Source organism: Homo sapiens, chromosome 7, assembly GCF_000001405.40.
Source record: "Homo sapiens chromosome 7, GRCh38.p14 Primary Assembly".
NCBI classification, from domain to species: Eukaryota; Metazoa; Chordata; class Mammalia; order Primates; family Hominidae; genus Homo; species Homo sapiens.
The window spans coordinates 157,254,162-157,277,311 of record NC_000007.14 but is presented as its reverse complement, the minus strand read 5'-3'; the positions used below and the strand labels follow the sequence as shown (position 1 = coordinate 157,277,311).

The 23,150-nt window shown below is 46.9% G+C and overlaps 1 protein-coding gene and 1 pseudogene across 3 annotated transcripts in view, besides 3 other annotated features; one reads left to right on the top strand and one right to left on the bottom strand.

The window, feature by feature from the left end:
- Positions 3,959-4,728: an enhancer, noted in NCBI's record as "H3K4me1 hESC enhancer chr7:157065278-157066047 (GRCh37/hg19 assembly coordinates)". NCBI's record gives its function as "activates a minimal SCP1, AML or CMV promoter by ChIP-STARR-seq in naive H9 embryonic stem cells {active_cell/tissue: H9 hESC(naive)}" and the evidence as "EXISTENCE:reporter gene assay evidence [ECO:0000049][PMID:30033119]".
- Positions 4,729-5,497: an enhancer, noted in NCBI's record as "H3K4me1 hESC enhancer chr7:157064509-157065277 (GRCh37/hg19 assembly coordinates)". NCBI's record gives its function as "activates a minimal SCP1, AML or CMV promoter by ChIP-STARR-seq in naive H9 embryonic stem cells {active_cell/tissue: H9 hESC(naive)}" and the evidence as "EXISTENCE:reporter gene assay evidence [ECO:0000049][PMID:30033119]".
- Positions 5,043-5,337: an enhancer, noted in NCBI's record as "tiled region #10383; HepG2 Activating DNase matched - State 5:Enh, and K562 Activating non-DNase unmatched - State 17:Gen3'". NCBI's record gives its function as "activates a minimal TATA promoter and a strong SV40 promoter by Sharpr-MPRA in HepG2 and K562 cells {active_cell/tissue: HepG2 | K562}" and the evidence as "EXISTENCE:reporter gene assay evidence [ECO:0000049][PMID:27701403]".
- The window catches only part of UBE3C (ubiquitin protein ligase E3C), a 130,445-nt gene continuing 115,236 nt past the window's right edge, over positions 7,942-23,150 (bottom strand). For all 3 annotated transcript variants that reach the window (NM_014671.3, XM_005249564.5, XM_047421072.1), the window contains 3 exons: positions 23,002-23,068; positions 20,268-20,398; positions 7,942-9,727 (listed from right to left, as the gene is read on the bottom strand). In NM_014671.3, coding sequence (NP_055486.2) covers positions 9,557-9,727; positions 20,268-20,398; positions 23,002-23,068 — 369 coding nt within the window. In that variant the 3' untranslated portion in view covers positions 7,942-9,556. The remainder of the gene's footprint in view (positions 9,728-20,267; positions 20,399-23,001; positions 23,069-23,150) is intronic.
- Positions 13,911-14,290, top strand: RPL36AP30 (ribosomal protein L36a pseudogene 30; annotated as a pseudogene).

The following is a 23,150-nucleotide window of genomic DNA, read 5'->3' as shown; positions in this document are numbered from 1 at the left end:
GCTGCAGGAGGTGGGGGGTGGGCAGCGCCTGCGAAGGAGCCCACACCCGGGGGAAGGACAGGCACCAGGAGGACACACGGGAGCCTGGCTGGAGGAACGGGAGCGCCGGTGTGGGGAGACGCAGAAAGGAGTTGCTCAGAAACTGAGGCCATTAGGACCATCCGAAGTCAACAGACTCTGCCCGGTTCTCCCCTGCTTGCCTCAGAGGCTGAGGCCCCAGACTGAACGGGGGACGGTCTCCCCAGTAGACAGGGGTGATTCCTGCAGTGGGTGATGCTGCCCCGTTAGACAAATGGTCCCCCCAGTAGACGGGGGATAGCCCTGAAGCAGGGAGTGGATGGCCCCACACTGCTACAGCGAAACAGTCCCCCCAGTAGACAGGGGAGGCTCCCTCCAGGGGGACTTCTCTCCTGTGAGTTTTCAGTGTTGACTTCATTGTATCCAGGAAGCAATGACCACATTCTGAGTGAATTTATCAGGCACTTCCTGCCTCATCAGTCCTTGTTGTGACCAGCCTTCCTTTCATGGTGTCTTAGGTGGCTGTCTTAGTAATGTTGGGACTCTGAAGATGGATCAAGGTGTCTTTCCTCCTTGAATGATAGTCCAAGATGTTGGATGGGTCTTAGGTGAGGAGCTGGCTGGGTGTCAGGGCACAGGGTGGTAAGGGTGGCTGGGAGTCCTGGCCTTGCCCTTGTCACCCCATTTAGGAGCCTCAGCAAGACCAGGCGGGGGCAATAGAGAGGGGGCAGGAGGCCTTGGACCTGGGCCTGTCTGTTCATCCCTTACTTGGTGCAGAACATCTGCTGGGGCCCCTCACATCTGTGGGGTCTGGATGTGAACATAATGTGTGAACCTTACCTGGCCGCGGGCACCACAGTCTGAGCTGCAGGTGACAGCCCCAGATGCGGCGGATCAGGAAACAGGTCCCACACTGGGGTCCCAGCTGGGCAGGTGGAGAACCGGCTCCCTCTGCCTGCCCCGCAGTGGCCAGGGCCTGTGCTCACACACACATCATTGCTGCACGGGGACTGTGCAAGGACGCCTTCTGCTGCAGAACAGGAAACTGCCCCCTGAATCTGCAGACCCTGGCAAGGCCCCTACGGCCACCGCGGTCAGCCCCGGAGAGAGGAGAGGGGCCTCGGTGGCAGCACAGGCCCACCAGGGTGTCCCTAGGGCTGAGGTCTCTGGTCCCAGGGGCCCCTGAGTAGGGGAGGGGGGCGAGGGTGCTGCAGGGAGGGGAGGCCCCTGCAGATCCATGTGGGCCCCACCTCAAAGGAAGGGATCCTTCGACTGGGGGTCCTGGGGGAAGATAAAGACCGCCCCAGGCCCATTCTTTCTGAACTGGAAGCCTCAGCAAAGGTAAGAATGAAATAAGGTAAATACACCCCCAAATTAGAAAATTCCAAGCTTCTTCAAATGGGTTTGACAGAATTTCCAACTCCAGTCTTTCCTCTGAACTAGGCAGTGTTCCCCAAAAATGTAACTCGGCCTGCTGGTGACCAGAAGCCTAACCAACTGGTGACATCAACAGTGGTTAGCACATGGTTTCTATGTTACGTATCATATGCTGTATTCTTACAATAAAGTGGGCTAGAGGAGGAAGGGCAGGCGGAAGGCGAGGTGAGAGGCTGGCCTCTCAATAGAGGGCAGCTTTCATGGAAAACCACCCATGTAGCCGGGCGCGGTGGCTCCCGCCTGTAATCCCAGCACTTTGGGAGGCCGAGACGGGTGGATCACAAGGTCAGGAGATCGAGACCATCCTGGCTAACACGGTGAAACCCCGTCTCTACTAAAAATACAAAAAAATTAGCCAGGCGTGGTGGTGGGCGCCTGCAGTCCCAGCTACTCGGGAGGCTGGGACTCCATCTCAAAAAAAAAAAAAAAAAAAAAAAGAAAAAGAAAAAAAAAGAAACCCACCCACGCTTTGGTGGACCTGCACAGCTCAGACCGTGTTACGCAAGGGCCAGCTGTGTACAGTTTCCTATTTCTAAGTATATTCACAAGATTGTGCAGCCACCACCACCAATTCCAGAACATTCTCGTCAGCCCCCAAAGAAGCCCTGTACCCATCAGCTGTCAGTGCCCGTCTCTTCCCTCCTAAGCCCTAACAAGCACCAGTCTGCACCCCGCCTCTGGGGATGTGCCTGTGCTGGACACTTCAGGTCAAGGAGTCACCCAGCATGTGTCCTTTTGTATCTAACGTCCCTGAGGCGCACCCATGCTGCTGTGTATCACACTTCCTTTTACTTACTATTATTATTATTTTTGAGACAGAGTCTCAATCTGTCGCCCAGGCTCGAGTGCAGTGGCGCAATCTCGGTTCACTGCAAGCTCCGCCTCCTGGGTTCACACCATTCTCCTGCCTCAGCCTCCTGAGTAGCTGGGGCTACAGGCGCCCGCCACCACGCCCGGCTAATTGTTTTTGTATTTTTAGTAGAGACGGGGTTTCACCGTGTTAGCCAGGATGGTCTTGATCTCCTGACCTCGTGATCTGCCCGCCTCGGCCTCCAAAAGTGCTGGGATTACAGGCGTGAGCCACCGCGCCTGGCCCACACTTCTTTTTACGACCAAGTCCTATTCCACTGCACAGAGGGACCACATAATGTTTATTCCTTCCTCAGCTGATGAACACTTGTGTGTTTCCATCCTTTGGCGATCGTGAATAAGGCAGCTATGAACATTTGTGTACAAGTCTGTGTGTGGACAAAGGTTTTCACTTTTCTTTGAGACAGAGTTTCACACTGTGGCCGGTTGGAGTGCAGTGGTGCCATTCATAGCTCACTGCAGCCTCGACCTCCTGGGTTCAAGCGATCCTCCTGCCTCTGCCTCCAGAGTAGCTGAGACCACAGGCGTGCACCAACCATGCCCTGCTAACCTTTTTATTTTTTGTAGAGATGGGGTTTTGCCATGTTGCCCAGGCTGGTCTCAAACTCCTGGCCTCAAGCGATCCACCTGCCTTGGCCTCCCAAAGTGCTGGGATTACAGACATGAGCTCGGGTGCCTGGCCAGGTTTCCCTTCTCTACTGTAAACCTAGTAGAAACTGCTGGCTTGCTGCTGTGTGTGTAACATTTGAGGAACTAAGGCAATGGGATGTTAAACTTTAACATTTCTGCTGGGCACAGTGGCTCACGCCTGTAATCCCAGCACTTCGGGAGGCCAAGGTGGGCGGATCGCCTGAGGTCAGGAGTTTGGGACCACCCTGGCCAACATGGCAAAATCCTGTCTCTATTAAAAATACAAAATTAGCTGGGCGTGGTGGCGGGTGCCTGTAATCCCAGCTATGTGGGAGGCTGAGGCAGGAGAATTGCTTGAACCCAGGAAGCAGAGGTTGCAGTGATCCAAGATTGCACCACCGCACTCCAGCCTGGGCAACAAGAGGGAAACTCCATCTCAAAAACTTTAACATTTCTCTTAAAAGGTCAGCTTTATATTGCTATTTTATTAGCCACTTCCTGATGAGGAGACACAAGCAGTGCAAGCCTGCTGACTCTGGTTGCGGGGGCAGGCACCCGGGTGAAGATCACCTTCCAGAGCGCCGGGCGCCCTTCCACACGCAGTGCCCACTCCTGACCACCAGATGGAGCCCACGCACTGCCCAGGACCACGAAGCCGACCCGGGGTCTGGAGCAGGCCAGGCAGGCACTTGCTGGACACGTGGGCAGCTGCCCGCAGTGGGACCACCAGAAAGGCGGTGCCTGGGCGGCCTGCACCGGGCGCCCACTCCTACCCTGAGCTAGGGCCGGCTGGCAGCCGCAGGGAGGCTCTCGTGAGAAAAATGGGGGTCCAAGAATTGAGGGTAGGAACCATACAGGGGCTAACTTGAAATTTACCTTAGTTAGCAAGACTGTTCTCCATAGATGTAGCAAATCCATGCACTCAACCAGTATTTACTGAGCATCTGCTGTGTGCAAGGCGTTATTCTACATGCTTGGTAAACAGCAGTTTACTAACCTCCCACCCTCCATGAAACTTACATGGTGGGGGAGAAAGGAAGTAATAGGTGAGTGAAGTACATGGTGTATTAGATGAAAATCAGCACTCTAGAGAAAGATACCAATAAGAGAGGATGGATGTGCTGAGGTCAGGGGGGCTGTGTTTTAAATAGGGTGTGGCAGGGGAGGTGGCACTGGGCAATAAACTGCTGTACAACACGAGATCAGCCATGCGCCACAGCACAGCACACATCCCAGGGCCCCAAGCCGGGGAGGGGCGCGGTCTGATGGCACCAGGGGCGAATGACAGGGTCTCAGCTCTCCCTGAGCTGGGGACACACTGGAAGGTCTTGCCCAGAGTGTCATGAACTGACTTGAGGTCAGGGTCACTTTGGCAGTGGGCAGGAACTGAGGACGGAGGACACTTTGCTGCAATTCTAAGCCAATGGCTTGGGACAGGGAGGGGCAGAGAAAGCGGCAGGAAGGCCTCAGGTGTTGTTGGGAGGGTCTGTGATGCAGTGGTAGGTGTTGAGTGGGAGAAGGCCAGGCTGACCTGAGGAGGGCCAGGTGCCTAGGGACAGCCCGCGTGTCGGGAACATAGAACGCAGTCCGGACTGGAGTCTCACGTCTGGCTCCGGGCTGCAATTAGCCTCTAGAACCCATCATTAGCTTATAACTGAGGGCCTTATTTTATGTTCAAAATACTGAGCTGAAGATCTCTTGACACCAGTTTTACGGTTCAGATAGGAGCTCCCAGCACCAGCCTCATCTTCCCTGACCCCCGACTGGGCAAAAGCAAACGTAGAGGCTCGAAGGGCTGTGGGCCAGGCCACAGCCGAGCAGTCGGCAGCTGTGCCACAGACCATCCTCCATGGAGCCTGGATGGCACGTACAGCTGGAGGTTCCGGCCCAGGTGCTGCGGGTATCAGGACTCCCTGGAGCACCAGAAATGAACTCCAGGCAAATCAGCTGGAATGCCCTGCAACTCCCAACCTAGAAGTTTTTAACATTGAAAGGATTTTTTGAGACTGTCTAATTGTTTTCCAGAAATCACCTGTGAAGGATTATCCAGGACACTATAAAAAATACAGACTGCTAAGCCCCAACCCCTAGAGACACAATGGCCTTCAGGAAGGGCCGGGAACACTGATCTCATGCACCGCTCGTTTTACTGAGTCAAAGGAAAGGCTTGTTTGCGTCTGCGTGGGCAACAGCCAAGTACAACCAGAACACGTTTCGAAATCCCCACGGGTCTACCTACCACACTTAAATCAACACAGCCAGAATGGGGCTGCCCAAAGAAACAGGCCACGTCCTGACTCCAGGACATGTGTACATACATGGCCTTATTTGGAAAAAGTCTTTGCAGATGTAATTGAGGATCTTGAGATGAAGTCATCCTGGATTACAGGGGTGTCTATAGGAAAAAGGCAGGACACTGGAGACAGGGGGAGAAGACACCAGATACCAGAAGCTGGAGGAGACAAAGGGTTCCTCCCTGAGGCTGTGAGGCCTCCTGATCCCTGGAGGAGAGAAATGCTGCTGCTTTAAGCCACCTGATTTGTGGTAATTTGCTACAGCAGCCACAGGGAGCTGATGACCATGAACACGATACCATTTTAAGAAAGACTACCCCCCTCACACTTGAATGAGCTCTAACAGCTCTGGTCCTGTCAAGTCTGTGGATGCAAGCACGACAGCATCCATTCAGTCATCACCTCAAACTCATCAGTCCATCGGCGCCATCCCATTACCTAGCACGGTGCGTACGTGGAGTGACGCTGGCCAGTTCACATGCGGGTCCTGAGCTGTGAAGGCGTGGAGCACCCATCGTGGAGGCGGACTTCTGTCTGCAATCCTGGCAGTTCAAGGAGACGCATGGACCTTGTGCTATCCACAAATCTAAGAAACATTGCCAGCAATTGAATTCTTTGGGTGACTCAGTATGTGAACACCCTCCACGATAAATTCAAGACTGACACCAGGCTGCTTCCATGACATAAGATCACCTTAATGAGCACAACAGGTGTGCCTTTCTTTATTCTGGATCGTGCAGAAAGAAAAACCCAGTGACTTCTGCCGTATTTGCCTCTCTAGGCAGCCCCAGTTGGCTGGCTATGGTTCCCTCCTGTGACACCCTTCGAGCCTCTATGTTTGCTTTTGCCCACTCCAGGGTCAGGGAAGACGAGGCTGGTGGTGGGAGCTCCTATCTGAACGGTAAAATTGGTGTCAAGAGTCTTCAGCTCAGTATTTTGAACATAAATAAGGCCCTCAGTTATAAGCTAATGACGGACACTGCCTCCTGTCAACATTTAGAAGTGCGCAATCGATGAATCCAAACCACAGCAATCCATCTCAGTAATCAGAACGTGAACCATCCTCTTAAAGCAAAAGTGGGGCCGGGCGCGGTGGCTCACGCCTGTAATCCCAGCTACTCGGGAGGCTGAGGCAGGACGATCGCTTGAACCCGGGAGGCGGAGCTTGCAGTGAGCCCAGATAGTACTACTGCACTCTGGCCAGGGCAAATGAGCGAGACTCTGTCTCAAAAAAAGAAAAATGCACATAAAAAGAGAACAGCATTTAAAGAGATTACCGTTTTCTGCCTACCTCTGCAGAAGAAAAAGTAGTAGTAACGTTGCCTTTATACAGCAATATTTTTATTGTTAAGACCTTGGCCAAAACTATTGTAACCTTGTAGGCTGTTAGGGCAGACTTTTGAAGATGTGATGTTTGCAACCTGTGACACCAACCGCCTAGGGAGACAAATTAAAACGTGGTTTACAGTATGTGAAAGTCAAAAGCCTGTCTACAATGCTCATGGCATCTCCAGAATGCTCCTGTGAAACCCAAGCCTCCAGACTGTCCCTGTTTCACAGATAAATCAGTCGAGGCACAAAGCACTTGGGCTCAAGAACTTACCCTCAGAATTTTCTGGAAGCAGAGACCTTTGTGTAGTCAGTGCCTTTTCCCACCTGGACATGCTGGTCACCAGTCTCTTCAGGTCACCAACTTTGACCACCATCCAAGCACCAGGAAAAGCCCTCTGGGTTGATCCCAGCATGCCACAGTGTAGCACTCCAGCATTCAGCCCGTGTTTGGGAAGTCTAGGTAATTTCTCATTAGAAAAACCTCCAGGTGAACCTGCTGTTCTGTGAGGGATGCACAGGGTGGCTGCGTCACTTCCTAGACTACCCTGCTAGTTGTGATGCTTGCTGACCCGGAGCAGGTGGATCTGAAAGAGCTGAGCATGCCCTGAATTTCTATTTGAGTTACCATATGCCTTTGGCTGTTTATTTCTTTCAAGTATGAGAAAGCTTACGTATTCAATTATTTCAGGTTCACCACTCACCTCCTCAGGAAGTTCCTGGAAGGAGTCATTAACCCCACCACAGCCTTTCCCGTGCTCCCAGTTCCACCACTGGAGGCCTGCATGTCAACGGCAGGGATACATAGAGTGTAGACTGCAGGCTCACGATGGGCAGGGATGCAGTATCTGGTTTCCCACACTCCGCAAAAGCACACACCATCCTGTAAACCACTGCAATCGATAAAGCTGCCTTAACGAGCTCAGGATACCAAAACAAAGATCTCTCTGCAGATAACACCTCATGAGAAGTATCTGCAATAACCCCAAGTCAACATTTAGGTTTGTGTACAAAATTACCAGAAAGCAGAAAGTAGGACAGAACGTAGAAAAGGGCAAACAAAACAAAGAACAAAGAATCTTCCTCCAGAAATTTTTCAAGAACTAATGCCAGACCCAATGGGAGACTCGGGAAGCCAACACCCGTGGCTGGTCGGATAGGAGCACACCGGCCGCCGGCCTGGGAGCCACGCTCGGCCCACCCCTGATGACAGGCATCCTCCCGAGGACCTCTGATTCTCAGTGAGTGTAGGCCATCTTACTATACTCCATTAGCTGGTGACATGCAAACACCTGTGATAAAACTAGTAACATTCAGAAGCTGTGCTAATCACAATGATTTGGGGTAGGACTCCAACACAATCTTGGGAAAAAAAACATTTAATGTAAATGTTTAGCCATTAGAACATACAAATAAATAAATAAGCTCAGAATAGCTGAGAAAAAAACCACAAATAAGTGAATTGTCAATTTCTCTTCAGTCTCAGATATGCTATTTCCAAAATACTAATAAAATATACAAATTAACTAATAAGATATAGAACATTCAACATAAAACAACCTAAAATAAAAAAGACCAACCCTAATTATTTTATTTCTGTATATCAAGACTACAAATAGCATTTAAACGCTTAATTTATTATTCAAATTAAGAAATTATACATTTTGTTTTGATAATGTTCATTGTCTTAAAAGTGTCATTCAGCTTTCCCACTTTAAAAGTATATTGCTAATTATGGTCAATTAACTATGACAGCCCACAGAGCCTCCAGTGACAGTAAAATACGAGACATAGAAGAGATAAATGAGGATTTAGATCCCCTCCCCCCAGCATCAGCAAAGGGTCACTCTGCTCCCACAGCTGACGCTTTGAAACGCTTTCTGTTTGTAGAGACTAAAATCACCCAGCAACAGGTCAGGTCCTGATAAAGTGCCTACTGCAAGAACTACCGACACTCCTCTTCCCTGGATGTGCACCAGGGACTGTCCCGTCTTCGAGTCAGAGCAGCACCAGGAAGCAGAGGGTGCCAAGCATGGCGAGTCACCCCCAAATATCCAGGAAGACAAGTGGGCGCAGCCCAGGGGAAAGGAGGGCGAGCGGATGATGGGAGACCGGCACGGCTAGCATCGGGACAAAGATGCAGCCGCCACTTTGGTTCAAACAACTTTAATGACACCACAGTGTCTGTCCTCCCCCAAGTAACTGGGTATAGTGGGTGACAGATGTTGCAGTAGCTTGGCAGACCCTCCTCCTCCACCTCCCCTGAAAGCTCTCCAGGCACAAAGTGGAGATAGAAATAGGACAATGAATGAAGTCCCCACCTCACATCCACAGACAGTATCTCCAAACCATCATGAGGCAGGCCACGGTATACTGAAAACAAGCATGCTAGTCCCATTTGGGGAAATGGCTTAAAAAGCACAAATAAAATATTACCATCATCATCTCTTTTCCAAACCTAACCACTTTGGGAAAGGCAGCAGAAAAAAAAAATGCCTTCAGTTTTAATAATGAGGCTTGTAAACAATCCAACCACATAAGCAGCAGCGGCCCCATGGCGTCTCAGCCCTCAGACCCTGTATCTCTGCCGCCTGTGCAGCCCTGTCTGAACCCTGGAGTGGCGCTGCCTGCTCAGGAGGGCTCTGATCTCACCAGCAAAGCCAAAGCTTCATCTTTGGTTAATTTCACTGAGATGCCACTAGTGTAAAAACTGTGCTCTTCTTGGCAATATTACTAAAGTAGCCACATGGCACATAACGTGTTATTTTAAGTTATTTGAAAAGCAATGTCCATCTAAATAAGTGACCACACCGTAATAAAAATCATTTAAAAAAGGAAGGGAGGGAGGAATGGCAGAATGAAAGAAGGAGCTTAGGAGAGCCTCAGGCGTGCAGTGTGAGTATCCTCGTGGGTCTGGGGAGGCGCTGCTGACGAAGGAAGCACTGGTTCTCTGTAGGGGTCTGACCCCAGCATCAGCTTCAGCTCAGCTCAAAGCCAGCGGCACATTCAATCGCATAGAGAAGTTTACTTCGCAAAAGTGTCTCGTCATAGAACTCGGGGAGCTTCAGCAGGTTCATGCAGGTGCTGGCTGTGGGGAGCCGCTCAAGGTCGGAGCCTCCGTTGTGAATACAAAATGCGGGATACAACTCCTGAAAAACAGCATGTGTGCAAGATGTCACTGTAACAAGCATGGCATTACATGAGTTTTAATACAAAGTACACAAAATGTGCCTGCTCCAATCAGTAAAGTTACCATTGCAGTCACATTTTCCCGAAACCACATTTGCTTTGTTGTTGTTGTTTGTTTTCTTTGAGATGGAGTCTAGCTCTGTCGCCCAGGCTGGAGGGCAATGGCGCCATCTCAGCTCACTGCAACCTCTGCCTCCCAGGTTCAAGCGATTCTCCTGCCTCAGTCTCCCAAGTAGCTGGGATTACAGGTGCCTGCCACCATGCCTGGCTAATTTTTGGATTTTTCCTAGATAAGGGGTTTCACCACGTTGGCCAGGATGGTCTTGAACTCCTGACTTTGTGATCTGCCCACCTCTGCCTCCCAAAGTGCTGGGATTACAGGCGTGAGCCACCGTGCCTGGCCCACATTTGCTTTTTTAAAAAATTACATTGATGGCTTAGTTCTAACTTACATAAAAGATTATGCACTGTGCTTCAGGCATAAAAAGGGATAAATAACATTCCAGGCCAGGCGCATAGCTCACACCTGTAGTCCCAGCACTTTGGGAGGCCTAGCTGGGGGATGGCTTGAGCTTAGGAGTTCGAGACCAGCCTGGGCAACATAACGAGACCTCATTTCCACTAAAAATAAAAATCAAAACAATTAGCCAGGTGTGGTGGTCTGCCCCTATACTCCCAGCTACTTGGGAGGCTGAGGTGAAAAGATGTCTTGAGCCCAGGAGGTCGAGGTTAGTGAGGTATGATCACACCACTGCACTCCAGCCTGGGCAACACACAGTGAGACCCTGTCTATAAAAATTTTTTAAAAAGGATCAAGATTTATTCTATCTTTCCTGTACAAGCTATTACTCGGGTTAACCAAATCATTGGTGAGAAGAAACAAAGCTGTTTTTAAATAGAAAATTCCAGCTAATAAATTATACAATTATGTAATTAGAACACGGCTGTTTTAGAAGCACATTAAACAATGGATCTAGGCAGTGATAAGTGACCACTAAAATCAAGAGGAATTCTGACGCAGAGATCGATCCCAGCATTGTGGGGAGATGACTCACGAGAAGTGGATCTCCACGATGATTAAGGGAATGGGAAGCATACGACATTACCTATGTGATGTTATTGCCAAAAAAAGAAAAATTCAAATTTAGAATCTGATGAGACCTCTATCAGTTTTCAAGAGATACAAAGAAGCAACCCAGTTACCCTATTATTTTTATTTATTTATTTTTTTGAGACGGAGTCTTGCTCTGTCACCCAGGCTGGAGTGCAGTGGTGCAATCTCGGCTTACTGCAACATCCGCCTCCCGGGTTCACGCCATTCTCCTGCCTCAGCCTCCCGCATAGCTTGGACTACAGGCTCCCGCCACCACGCCCGGCTAATTTTTTGTATTTTTAGTAGAGACGGGGTTTCACCATGTTAGCCAGGATGATCTCGATCTCCTGACCTCGTGATCCACCCGCCTCAGCCTCCCAAAGTGCTGGGATTACAGGCGTGAGCCACCGTGCCCGGCCCCAGTTCCCCTATTCATTAAATTACAAGACGAAATTGAGGGAGGTAGAACATCTATAGACCAAATGCATGATGAAAAGTGGCTTGCTTGTGCCAGAATTTAAATAATTGTTAACAAAAAAGAAAGATGATCAGGGAAATTTGAATATTGTTTTTCAGATGTGTTCATGACGTTCTGGTATTTAAAGGTACAGTGTGAAAATTCTCATCCCTGTATCACAGATACCCAGTTCCCATTCCCACTGGCAACCAACGCTTCAGCGTCTTAAGTGCTCCCAGAGATGAAATGCACGCATGAGAAAATGTTCTCCCTCCTTTAGGTTTAAAATTGAGACGGTGAGCACATTGGACACAGTATTCCGTGCCGTGCTTTTCTCATCTGATAATGGGTCTCGCTCATCTTGCCTATTAATGGTGAGGCTATATGGTGTTCCATGCACACGCGCGGCACGACGTGTTGCTGGGCACTTCTCTCAGCTTTTTACAAAAAATGATGCAATGAATACGTACCTGGTTTTCACAGTTGTGCAAATGTATCTGTAGGCAAAAACCGTGTTAGGGATTGCTCAACGCAGACTTAATGCATGAGACCTATGGGCGTGTCGGTCCTCTGATGGCCACGAAGAACCGGTGACTCCACCTTCCTCGTATACACAAACACCATTAGCTATTTGCCTCACATTTGAGATACGTGATTTATGTGTTCTCTTCCAACAGGAAGACAATAAGGCACAGATCGCCCTCAGTCTGCTCACTGTCGCAGCCTGTGCAGATTTAGTATCTGGCACGGGTTTCAGAGACCTAGCTAGGTCAGCCCTTCCCTGCACACGTGTACACGAAACTCTCTGAGAGGTGGGCCTGGCAGCAGGAGCAGGGGCTTCACCCACATTCACAACTCCTGGGACTGTACTCTAAGAAATAATTAGAGATGCACATGATAATTTATGCACAAGAGGTTCACAGCATCACAACGAAGGAAGAGCTGTAAACAACTAAAAAACAGAAAGTAAACTGGTAAATCACATGATGGGACACTACAAGCCCATTAAAAATATCTCAAAGAATAACATGAGGAAAAATGATCCTGATGTAATGTTGAGTGAAAAAGGTAGCCTAGAAAACTGAACACAAGATACAGCTAAAATTATATTTAAAAATTACGTGACCAGGAGCAGTGGCTCATGACTGTAATCCCAGCATTTTGGGAGGCCACAACGGGTGGATCACCTGAGGTCAGGATTTCTGAGACCAGCCTGACCAACATGGCGAAACCCCATCTCTACTAAAAATAAAAAATTAGCCGGCTGTAGTGGTGCATGCCTGTAATAATTCCAATTACTCGGGAGGCTGAGGCAGGAGGCAGAGGTTGCAGGCTGCAGTGAGACGAGATCACGCATTGCACTCCAGCCTGGGCAATAAGAGTGAAACTCTGTCTTAAAAATATATATGTTTGTGTGTGTGTAACAGGCTGAGCATGTTGGCTCACACCTGTAATACCAGGTGTGTGTGTGTGTGTGTAACAGGCCGAGCATGTTGGCGCACACCTGTAGTACCAGGTGTGTGTGTGTGTGTAACAGGCCGAGCATGTTGGCTCACACCTGTAGTACCAGGTGTGTGTGTGTGTGTGTAACAGGCCGAGCATGTTGACTCACACCTGTAGTACCAGGTGTGTGTGTGTAACAGGCCGAGCATGTTGGCTCACACCTGTAATACCAGGTGTGTGTGTGTGTGTGTGTGTAACAGGCCAAGCATGTTGGCTTACACCTGTAGTACCAGGTGTGTGTGTGTGTGTGTGTAACAGGCCGAGCATGTTGGCGCACCCCTGTAATACCAGGTGTGTGTCTCTGTGCTTAACAGGCCGAACATGTTGGCTCACACCTGTAATACCAGGTGTGTGTGTGTGCACGTAACAGGCTGAGCATGTTGGCTCACACCTGTAATACCAGGTGTGTGTGTGTGTAACAGGCCGAGCATGTTGGCTCACACCTGTAGTACCAGTGCTTTGGGAGGCTGGTGTGGGAGATCACTCAAGGCCAGGAGTTTCTGACAGCCTGGGCAACAGAGCAAGACCCTACCTCTACCAAAAACAGAAAAAATTATGCATATCTACATTAACACACACTCATGTAGGTAGATAAAACACATACTAATTAAAGGAAGGAAACATAAAAAAATAATGGTTAGAATGGGAGGAAATATAGGTTTCTTATACTTGATCACAATTTCCAATTTTCTATAATGAAAACATTACTTTTACTGAAAGGTAAAAAAAAAAAAAAAAAATCCAATATAAAAAAAGTGCTTTCGGTGCCAACAGCGCTCCCACAAAGTGAATGTTCCTAATACTTGCTAGACTTTTTTTTTTTTTTTTGAGTTGGCGTCTTGCTCTCTCAACAAGGCTGGTGTACAATGGCACAATCTCGGCTCACTGCAACCTCTGCCTCCCAGGTTCAAGCAATTCTCTTGCCTCAACCTCCCGAGTAGCTGGGACTATATGTGCCCATCATCACACCTAGCTAATTTTTGTATTTTTAGTAGAGATGGGGTTTCGCCATGTTGGCCAGGCTGGTCGAGAACTCCTGAACTCAGGTGATCCGCCCGCCTCAGCCTCCCAAAGTGCGTGAGCCACCACACCCGGCCCCCGTTCGACTTTCTGTAAGTGTGGCAAGCCCACAAAGCGACACGGCACAAAAGGGCACGGATTCTCTGTATGCCCGGGAAGGTGGCGTTAGGACAGGCGCCCGGGGAAGGTGGCGTTACGACAGGTGCCTGGGAAGGTGGCGTTAGGACAGGTGCCCGGGGAAGGTGGTGTTAGGACACGAAGCATAGCGGCTACGGTGGGCAGACTAAGCTGATTTTCCGGGAAAAGGCTAGAACTACGAAGAAGCTTGTGCTGAGGCTTGAGTGCGTTGAGCATAGGTGCAGATGTAAGAGGATGCTGGATATAAAGAGATGTGAGCATTCTGAACTGGGAGGACAGAAGAGGAGGAAGGGCCAAGACATCCAATTCTAAGTGTCATCTTTTGTTTTATTATGAAGACAATACAATCTTGAGTTTATGTTCAAAAAAATTTAAAAAATAGAAAAGGTAATTACCTTCTAACCATTGTAGTCAAATGTGAATCAAACTAGAGCAATGTCCCATTCTGCAGGAACCTTTGGAAGCACTGAAGCTGTCACAAAGCACAACAGGCACCCAACTGGCCACACCCACATTTCAGTTGGATTTTGTTTCAATTATATGTTGAGTTTAGCATATAATTTATGTTAAGGGTAAAACTAGTAAGAGCACAGCCCACAAAATGCTATGAAGAGGATGGGCGCGGTGGCTCATGCCTGTAATCCCAGCACTTTGGGAGGCTGAGGTGGGTGGATCACCGGAGGTCAGGAGTTCGAGACCAGCCTGGCCAACATGGTGAAATCCTGCCTCTACTAAAAATGCAAAAAAATTAGCTGGGGGTGGTGGTAGGTGCCTGTAATCCCACCTACTCGGGAGGCTGCGGCAGGAGAATCACTTGAACCCAGGAGGCAGAGGTTGCAGCGAGCTGAGATGGGCCATTGTACTCCAGCCTGGGCAACAGGAGCGAAACTCTATCTCAAAAAAAAAAAAAAAAAAAAAAAAAAAGCCTATGAAGAGACTTACATGATTCTTATTACTGATCTTTGTAGGTCTCTTTACTGTTAAATGTAAACTTCATTAAAAAATATATATGTGGCATATAATATGTGCTAAAATCCATTGTCTTTTTTTTTCTAATTATAGTTTATTTGCTCCTTTAAATCTCTCATAAAAATGTTAGAATGAGAACCAAAGGAGAACCAGAAATAACATTTATTACACTTATTATTCAGCATTCTGAGTACATGAGGGCAATAATTTTCACAAATGCTTGAATATACTAAAAAGGAAGCATTGCATTTTTGAAACAGAAAAGGATCTCTGAATGAAGGGGTCAGTGACTGCTGGCAAAGTCACTGGATAAATGAAAAGCTTAAAATATATTTTGCAATTAAATGCCACATTTTAGTGTTTCTTTCATAACGCTAATTGAATTTCCTACTTGGAGACTTAAAAGTAAAAAAATGAAGTTCTTCACTGAAATCTGAGTCAAGGGCACCATTTTGTGCATAATTAAATACAGTACAACGGGAATTTGCATTAATTCAGAGTGAGAAAAATCATTAATTTATTATGTGGCCTGATGGTAACTTAACAATTTTCTACAGCACTTTAATGATTTTTTGTCTGTAACAATCACATTTATTAAACATATTAAACTTTAATTAGCTTTAGCAGATGTTATTCTTCTCCAATAATCTGGCACTAAGGAGTTTCATAACTTTAAAATTATGCCTGCCTGCCTTTGCTATTTATAGTACTTCAACTGAAAGACATTCTCTTCCTTTAAGTCTACATTAATTCTGCAGCCCTGGCAAATCCAGGCATACTAAGCTAACCGGAAAGCCTAAATATTAAGATGATTTTTCCAAACTGGATGTCTAACATATAACAACTTCAAAAACACTTATCATGGAAAAATCAATTAAATTTCACATATGTTAGAACATTGAGAAAAATAAAAAAAACAGTAAGACCGTCTCATGGATGCTCAAAGTGTTTTCCACGGTATAACTCAATTATGATTGTGCGGGGTCTTGACTGGGGTAGGATTTTCCCTTTTAGTCTATTTGGGATTTTTTTTTTTTTTTTTTTTTTTTTTTTTTTTTCAGACAGAGTTTTGCTCTTGTTGCCCAGGCTGGAGTGCAATGGTGCAATCTTGGTTCACTGCAACCTCCACCTTCCGGGTTCAAGCCATTCTCCTGCCTCAGCCTCCCAAGTAGCTGGGACTACAGGCATGCACCACCATGCCCGGCTGATTTTTTTTTTGTATTTAGTAGAGGCGGGGTTTCATCATGTTGGTCAGGTTCGTCTTGAACTCCTGGCCTCAGGGGATCCACCCGCCTTGGCCTCCCAAAGTGCTGGGATTACAGGTGTGAGCCACCGCACCTGGCCAGTCTATTTGGGATTTTAAAAGCTCATGTAAATCCCTCTACTTCTGTTCCCCTAAACCTACGACGCTCACGCAGCACAAGTGGCCATGCACGAACCCGGAGGCATCACGGAGGTGGAGAAGGCTCTCGCACTCCTAGGCACACGTTATTGCTGGCTCTTTAGTTGGCTGTCAGAATGTCTAGAACCTACGTCTGGCAGGACTTCGAATTTTTATTGCTACTCACATGATTAGCATTATCTAATTAGCCAGGAGCTGACAAAAGTCTCTGCATCTTCCAGTGTTTTGATGGGAGCAGGTCCTCCAAACTTCCTTTTATGAAACTAGATGAGATGCATAATTTTCTTATCTCTAGCTTTGGAACAAACCAGTTTTGAAACAAAGATACTAGAAGCCTTGTCTATCATAATAAATGTTAATGACAAAATTACCAAATGGCATTAAAATCTTTACCGATAAAAAGTCGTCTGCACGCCTCACCTGCAGTCCTCCTGCTCTTTAGTCCCCAGCACAGCAAGCCCTCCAGACTCTGCCACCACACAGGCAGCACCCAGCTTTCCCTGCGCTCGAGAGATTCTCCTATCTGGTCACATGGGTCATGCTTCAAACTCTGAAGGGGACCCATCTATTTCTTCACACACGAACCTGGACGTGCCACTAAACCCTTCTGGGTCACTCCGTTTAGGTGTGTTGCTTGTAGGCGGCAGCGTTTTCCTGGCCCTGTCTCAAAGTCTTTTTCTTTCATTACGTCAGTTTCTCCGCACTCACTGTTGTAACATTCAGGCTTCTCTCATTCTATGTTTTCTATTTTACGATTCTGAATGTTACTTCCCACCCCCACCCCCCATATCTGGTAAACAGAGTTGGTTCTGTTTGTCCTGTTTTATTTGCATGGTTATTTTTTCTCTCCAACAATTTGGAAGATTATCATTTCTACTGATATCATTGAGTGATGGTATTCACTAACACGTTTAAGTTTATACGTCTTTATTATTCATTACTTCCAGAACATAACGGCGTCGATGATTGACCTATTTGAAACAAACTCACTGCACTTAGGCCTCACTTCTTTCCACCTCTCTACTGGGTCCCAACTCCAGTTCTGAGGGCACTAACTGAGATGCTGTGTTAGTTTATAGTCAATTTTTAAGAACAGCTTAATTGAGGTGTACTTGACTTACTATAAGATTATCCCTTTAAATGTACAATCCAATGATTTTAGCAAATTTACAGAGTTCCGCAGCGACCCCCACAATCCGGTTTTGGGTCGCTCCACTTCTCCGAAGCTCCCGCTGCCACCTCCAGCCCTGTGCAGCCCCTGACCCGCTCTGTGTCTCTAAATGTGCCTTTCAAAGGACAGTTTATCCGAGTGGAATTACATATAATAATACGTAGTCTTGTGTCTTGCTTCGTTCACTTAGCACAGTGTTTTCAATGTTCATACACAGTGTAGTAGATATCATTTATTCCTTTTAAATTCTAAATATCTCTTAATCTATAGTATTTACTAGCAGTTCATGTACTGTGAATTATTTCGTTTTTGGCCATTATGAAGGCTTGCTCTGAACATTCATAAACACACTGTGTGAAAATATGTTGCCATCTGTACACTCCCAACGGTGGGGCTGCGACATCACATTGACGAACATTCTCAAGATAACTTGCCTGCACCCCTTGAAAATGGGGGTACAGAAGAAAGGAAACTAAAGAGCACGCCAATTAAATGCAACGTGTGGTCCTGGATCAGATTCTATGAAGGACGCGAAGGGACAACCGGCCTAACACCTGAAGAGCTGGTCACAACGTGACTGCGGGGCTCCGCTCCCACTGAGCGCTGACTCAGGTCTGAGTGGGGCCTGAAAATGTTCATTTTTAACATGTGCTCAAGTGATGCTGCAGCTGCTGGTCCCAGGACCACACTGTGCAGCCAGTGGATTCGATAAGGTAAGTGCCGTATGTCAGAGTTCAATTTCCTGACTTGTAATAATTTAATTGTGGCCGTTTCAAAACTGTCTCTGTTCTTAGGAAGTATGTGCTGAGATATTTAGGGAAGACCTCATGTCTTCAACCTATTCTCAAATGATTCAGGAAAGAAATGCATGAAAAGAATGATAAAGTAAATGTAGCAAAATGTTAACAATTGGTCAGTGCGGGTTTAGAAGTTATTTGGTCAATTCTCACAACTTTTCTATACATTTAAAATAGTTTCGAAGTAAAAAGTTAAAGAATAGCTTCACTCAGAAATATAAAAAAATACTTGGGGGGCCGGGCATGATGGCTCATACCTGTAATCCCAGCACTTTGGGAGGCTGAGGTAGGTGGATCACCTGAGGTCAGGAGTTTGAGACCAGCCTGGCCAACATGGTGAAACCCCGTCTCTACTAAAAATACAAAAATTAGCCGGGCATGGAGGCGCACGCCTGTAATCACAGCTATTCAGGAGGCTGAGGCAGGAGAATTGCTTGACCCTGTGAGGCAGAGGTTGCAGTGAGCGGAAATCACGCCATTGCCCTCTGCACTCCAGCCTGGGCGACAGAGTAAAACTCCGTCTCAAAAACAAAGAAACAAACAAAACAGCAACAACAACAACAAAGCAAAAAACCTTAACATTACTTTTTCCCCCTTGAGACAGGATCTCGCTACTACATTGCCCAGGTTGGTCTTAAACTCCTGGGCTCAACTAATCCTCCTACCTCAGCCTCAAGAGTAGCTGGGACTACATGAGTGTGCAGGAACTCTTTCTGATTGAAGGTTATTTGAAGGTGAATGCCAGCTGGGCATGGTGTGGTGGCTCACACCTGTCATCCCAGCACCTTGGGAGGCTGAAGTGAGAGGATTTCTTGGGCCCAGGAGTTGGAGGCCAGCCTGGGGAATACAGTGAAACCCTTCTCTACAAAAAATCAAAATGTCAGCCAGGCATGGTGGTACATGCCTGTAGTCACAGCTACTTGGGAGGCTGAGGTGGGCAGATTGCTTCAGCCTGGGTGGCTGCGGCTGCAGTGAGCCGTGATCACACCACTGCACTCCAGCCTGGGTGATACAGCGAGTGCTCATCTTACTTAAAAAAAAAAAAAAAGAAAAAAGGAAAAAAGAAAGTGAATGCCTATGAAGTTTCATAAGCACAAATCACATACAGTACTTATCTAATTATATATTATTCTATAATATATATACCACTGTGTGCATTTTTAAATGTTAATATGGCTTTATTTTAATTTACAGTGAATACAGGAATTATGATTAGACGTTCCTGAGGCAATTTTTTTTTTTTTTTTTTTTTGGAGACAGGGTCTCACTCTGTCACCCAGGCTGGAGTGCAGTGCAGTGGCGCGATCTCGGCTCACTGCAACCTCCACCTCCTGGGTTCAAGCAATTCTCGTGCCTCAGCCTCCCAAGTAACTGGGATTACAGGCACAGGGCACCATGCCTGGCTCATTTTTCTGTATTTTTAGCAAAGACAGGGTTTCATCATGTTGACCAGGCTGGTCTCGAACTCCTGACTTCAAATGATCCATCTGCCTGAGGCAATTTTAATTGCTAAAAATAAGCCAAATTACGTAAGATCAACATTAATTTCCAGAAGTGGTAAAATAAGGCTCAGTAGCATATACACTCCATCAACATCTCTACGTTGTACCTGCTTCAGTTCAGTAGCAAAAAGCCCAAGATGTGTTACAGATTTATGAGACATTATTAATATTGCAAATAGTCCCTCCAAATGTACGGTTTGTTCACAGGCAATCATAACCACAATGTGTAACTATCATATGACTAGGTTATTGTGAACAAACAAAAAAAGCAACCCCAAATAAAACTAGCACCAAAATATATACATCATAACCAGTACTTAATTAAAAATCTAGCTGAAGATAAAAACAAAAGTGTATGTAAAAGGACTTCATTTAACCCTACTGAATGTTCTGCTGCCTTTCTTATTATGAAGTGGTCTTTAAAGCAAATGTCATGAAAGTTGTGTACCTTAAACCCCAAGAGAGGGGGTCGAGAGCAGCTTGTTACAAACTTCAGCAGTTTGCGCTTTTCTTCATCAGTGAACCCTTCCACAACTCTCCAGAAGACCTTAATAACAGGATGGTCTGCAGAATAGCCTCCTATGGCAAAATGAACACATGCTTTATGAAATGCAAAGCACACCCACCCTTCAGGACCCACAGGGATTGGTCCAGACACCCACGGAAACTAAAGTCCATGGATCCTCAAGTCCCTTCTCTAAAACGGCGTGGCATGTGTGTATCACCTGTGTACGTGCTGTGCACTTCCATGATCTCTAGAGCACTGGTACAATCCCATCTCATGCCGAGGCTGTGTAAATGGCTGTGACACTATATTGCTTAGCACACATTCAGTGCAGACACAACCATTGCTTTTTCCTCAAATATTTAAAATCTGCAATTGGTTGAAGCCATGGATGTGGACAGAACCCACAGATATGAAGGACCGATTGTAAATGCAAAAGCGGAATTCTCTGCCTCCCCCCGCCCCCACCCCACCCACCGCCAATTATGTGGAGGCGATGGGCAAAGTACGAGAAGGGGAGAGCAACTTAAGGAGGGTCAAAGCAGGGCCAGGCACAGTGGCTCACACCTGTAATCCCAGCACTTTGGGAGGCCCGGGCTGGCGGATCACTTGAGGTCGGGAGTTCGAGAGCAGCCTGGCCAACATGGTGAAACCCTGTCTCTACCAAATGTACAAAAATTCGCTGGATGTTGTGGCGCGCACCCATAATCTCAGCTTCTTGGGAGGCTGAGGTGGGAGAATTGCTTGAACCCAGAAGGCAGAGGCTGCAGTGAGCTGAGATTGCATCACTGCACTCCAGCCTGGGTGACAGGGTGAGATTCGCCCTCAAAATAAATAAATAAATACATAAAAAGCTAGAATAAGGATCACCCTGTAACTATAAAGATGAATGCAGGCACCAAGAACTACTGCAGAGGAGCCTTATTTTGAAGAACCGTGCTGCAGTTCAAAGCCGCCGCTGAACAGACGGCAGAGAAGGGGCTTGCACGTGGCCACAGATCTAACATGACAGACAATGGGTGTCTAGTACTAACACAGCTGGGTGTTTTCCCAGCATGATTTGGTGGCTAAATTAATTTTATCATCTTTCCTTCTAACTTATTATCATTCTGATATTAATACCATGGCTAACAACCAATCTCACTATATGATGAGACCACTATTCTGAAATGTAATGTCTGCCACTTACAGCTTTTAATCTAGTAAAGTGCTCCCTAAACCTAAAATAATTGCTGTATATTGTTCCCTCATTGTTAATATACTACAGAAATAACACCAATAAAATGTCTTAAGTGCATTAATTGGCACCAAAATGAATATAATATTTTAAACCTATTTACTGGCATAGCTGAGATTATTAAAGGTGCAAGCCCTCAGTGCAGATGGGTAATGAAAACAACCGAAGACAATCTCTTGGCAAAGGAAAGGTCAGACTGATTTCATTTCCTTAAACTTATGACCCGATCATGGGGACAACGTGACCTTAGGCATTATTTGCTTTTACATAAAGATTAGACTTCAGATGTAGGACAATGCAAACTACAGATAAGAGATACATACGCATGGATACACACAGGTTATATGTAAAAATGATTTTTTGTAAGTTTAGAGTTTTGCAACCATCAGCACAATCCAGTTTTAGAACATTTCCATTTCCTCAAAAAGCTCTCACTTGCACCAGTAGACAGCTAGTGGGTATGTGGGGTTATCTCATTTGGATGTAAGTGGCATTTTTCTATAATGACTAATGATGCTGAACATCGTTATTGTGTGCTTATTTGCTTACTGGCCATTTATCTATCTTCTATGTTAAACATCTGGTTTTTTTTGCCCATGTACGTTGTGTATGTATATATTTATCTATTTAGAGACAGGGTTTCACTCCTGTCGCCCAGGCTGGAGTGCAGTGGCATGATCTCGGCTCACTGAGATCTCACGACCTCCGTCTCCCACCTCCAGTGATTCTCCTGCCTCAGCACCCGACGTAGATGGGACTGCAGGTGTACGCCACCACGCCGGGACTGCAGGTGTACGCCACCACGCCGGGACTGCAGGTGTACGCCACCACGCTGGGACTGCAGGTGTATGCCACCACGCCCAGCTAATTTTTAGTAGAGATGGGATTTCGCCACATTGCCCAGGCTGGTTTCAAACTCCTGAGCTCAAGTGATCCACCTGCCCCGGCCTCCCAAAGGCTGGGATTACAGGCGTGAGCCACTGCACTCAGCCATCTGGTTTTTGAACCATGTACATTACCCCTACAAAAGAGTACAATAAAAATTACTTTGAGGCCAGGCATGGTGGCTCACGCCCATAATCCTGGCACTTTGGGGAGGCTGAGGGGGGTGGATCACTTGAGCTCAGGAGTTTGAAACCAGCCTGGCCAACATGGCAAAACCCTGTCTCTACTCAAAGTACAAAAATTAGTTGGGCCTGGTGGCAGGTGCCTGTAATCCCAGCTATTCGGGAGGCTGAGGCAGGAGAATTGCTTGAACCCGGGAGGCAAAGGTTTCAGTGAGCTGGGATCGCGCCACTGCACTCCAGCCTGGGCGACAAGAGTGAAACTCAGTCTGAAAAAAAAAAAATAAATAAATTAATTAAAATAAAATAAAAATTACTTTGGAAATATGACCACCTGCAACATTTTCAGAAACAATAACTAGCAGTGATAACATACCTGAATAGTTTGTAAAGGATTTTAGGTCCTCTAGGCTTATGGGAACTTGTGCACCAGAAATTAATACCTAAGGAAAAAAGTTCAAATAATAACATTTGAGGTAAATTTTAAGAAAGCCTGTTCATTTCCTGTGACAAGCGTGTCCCAGA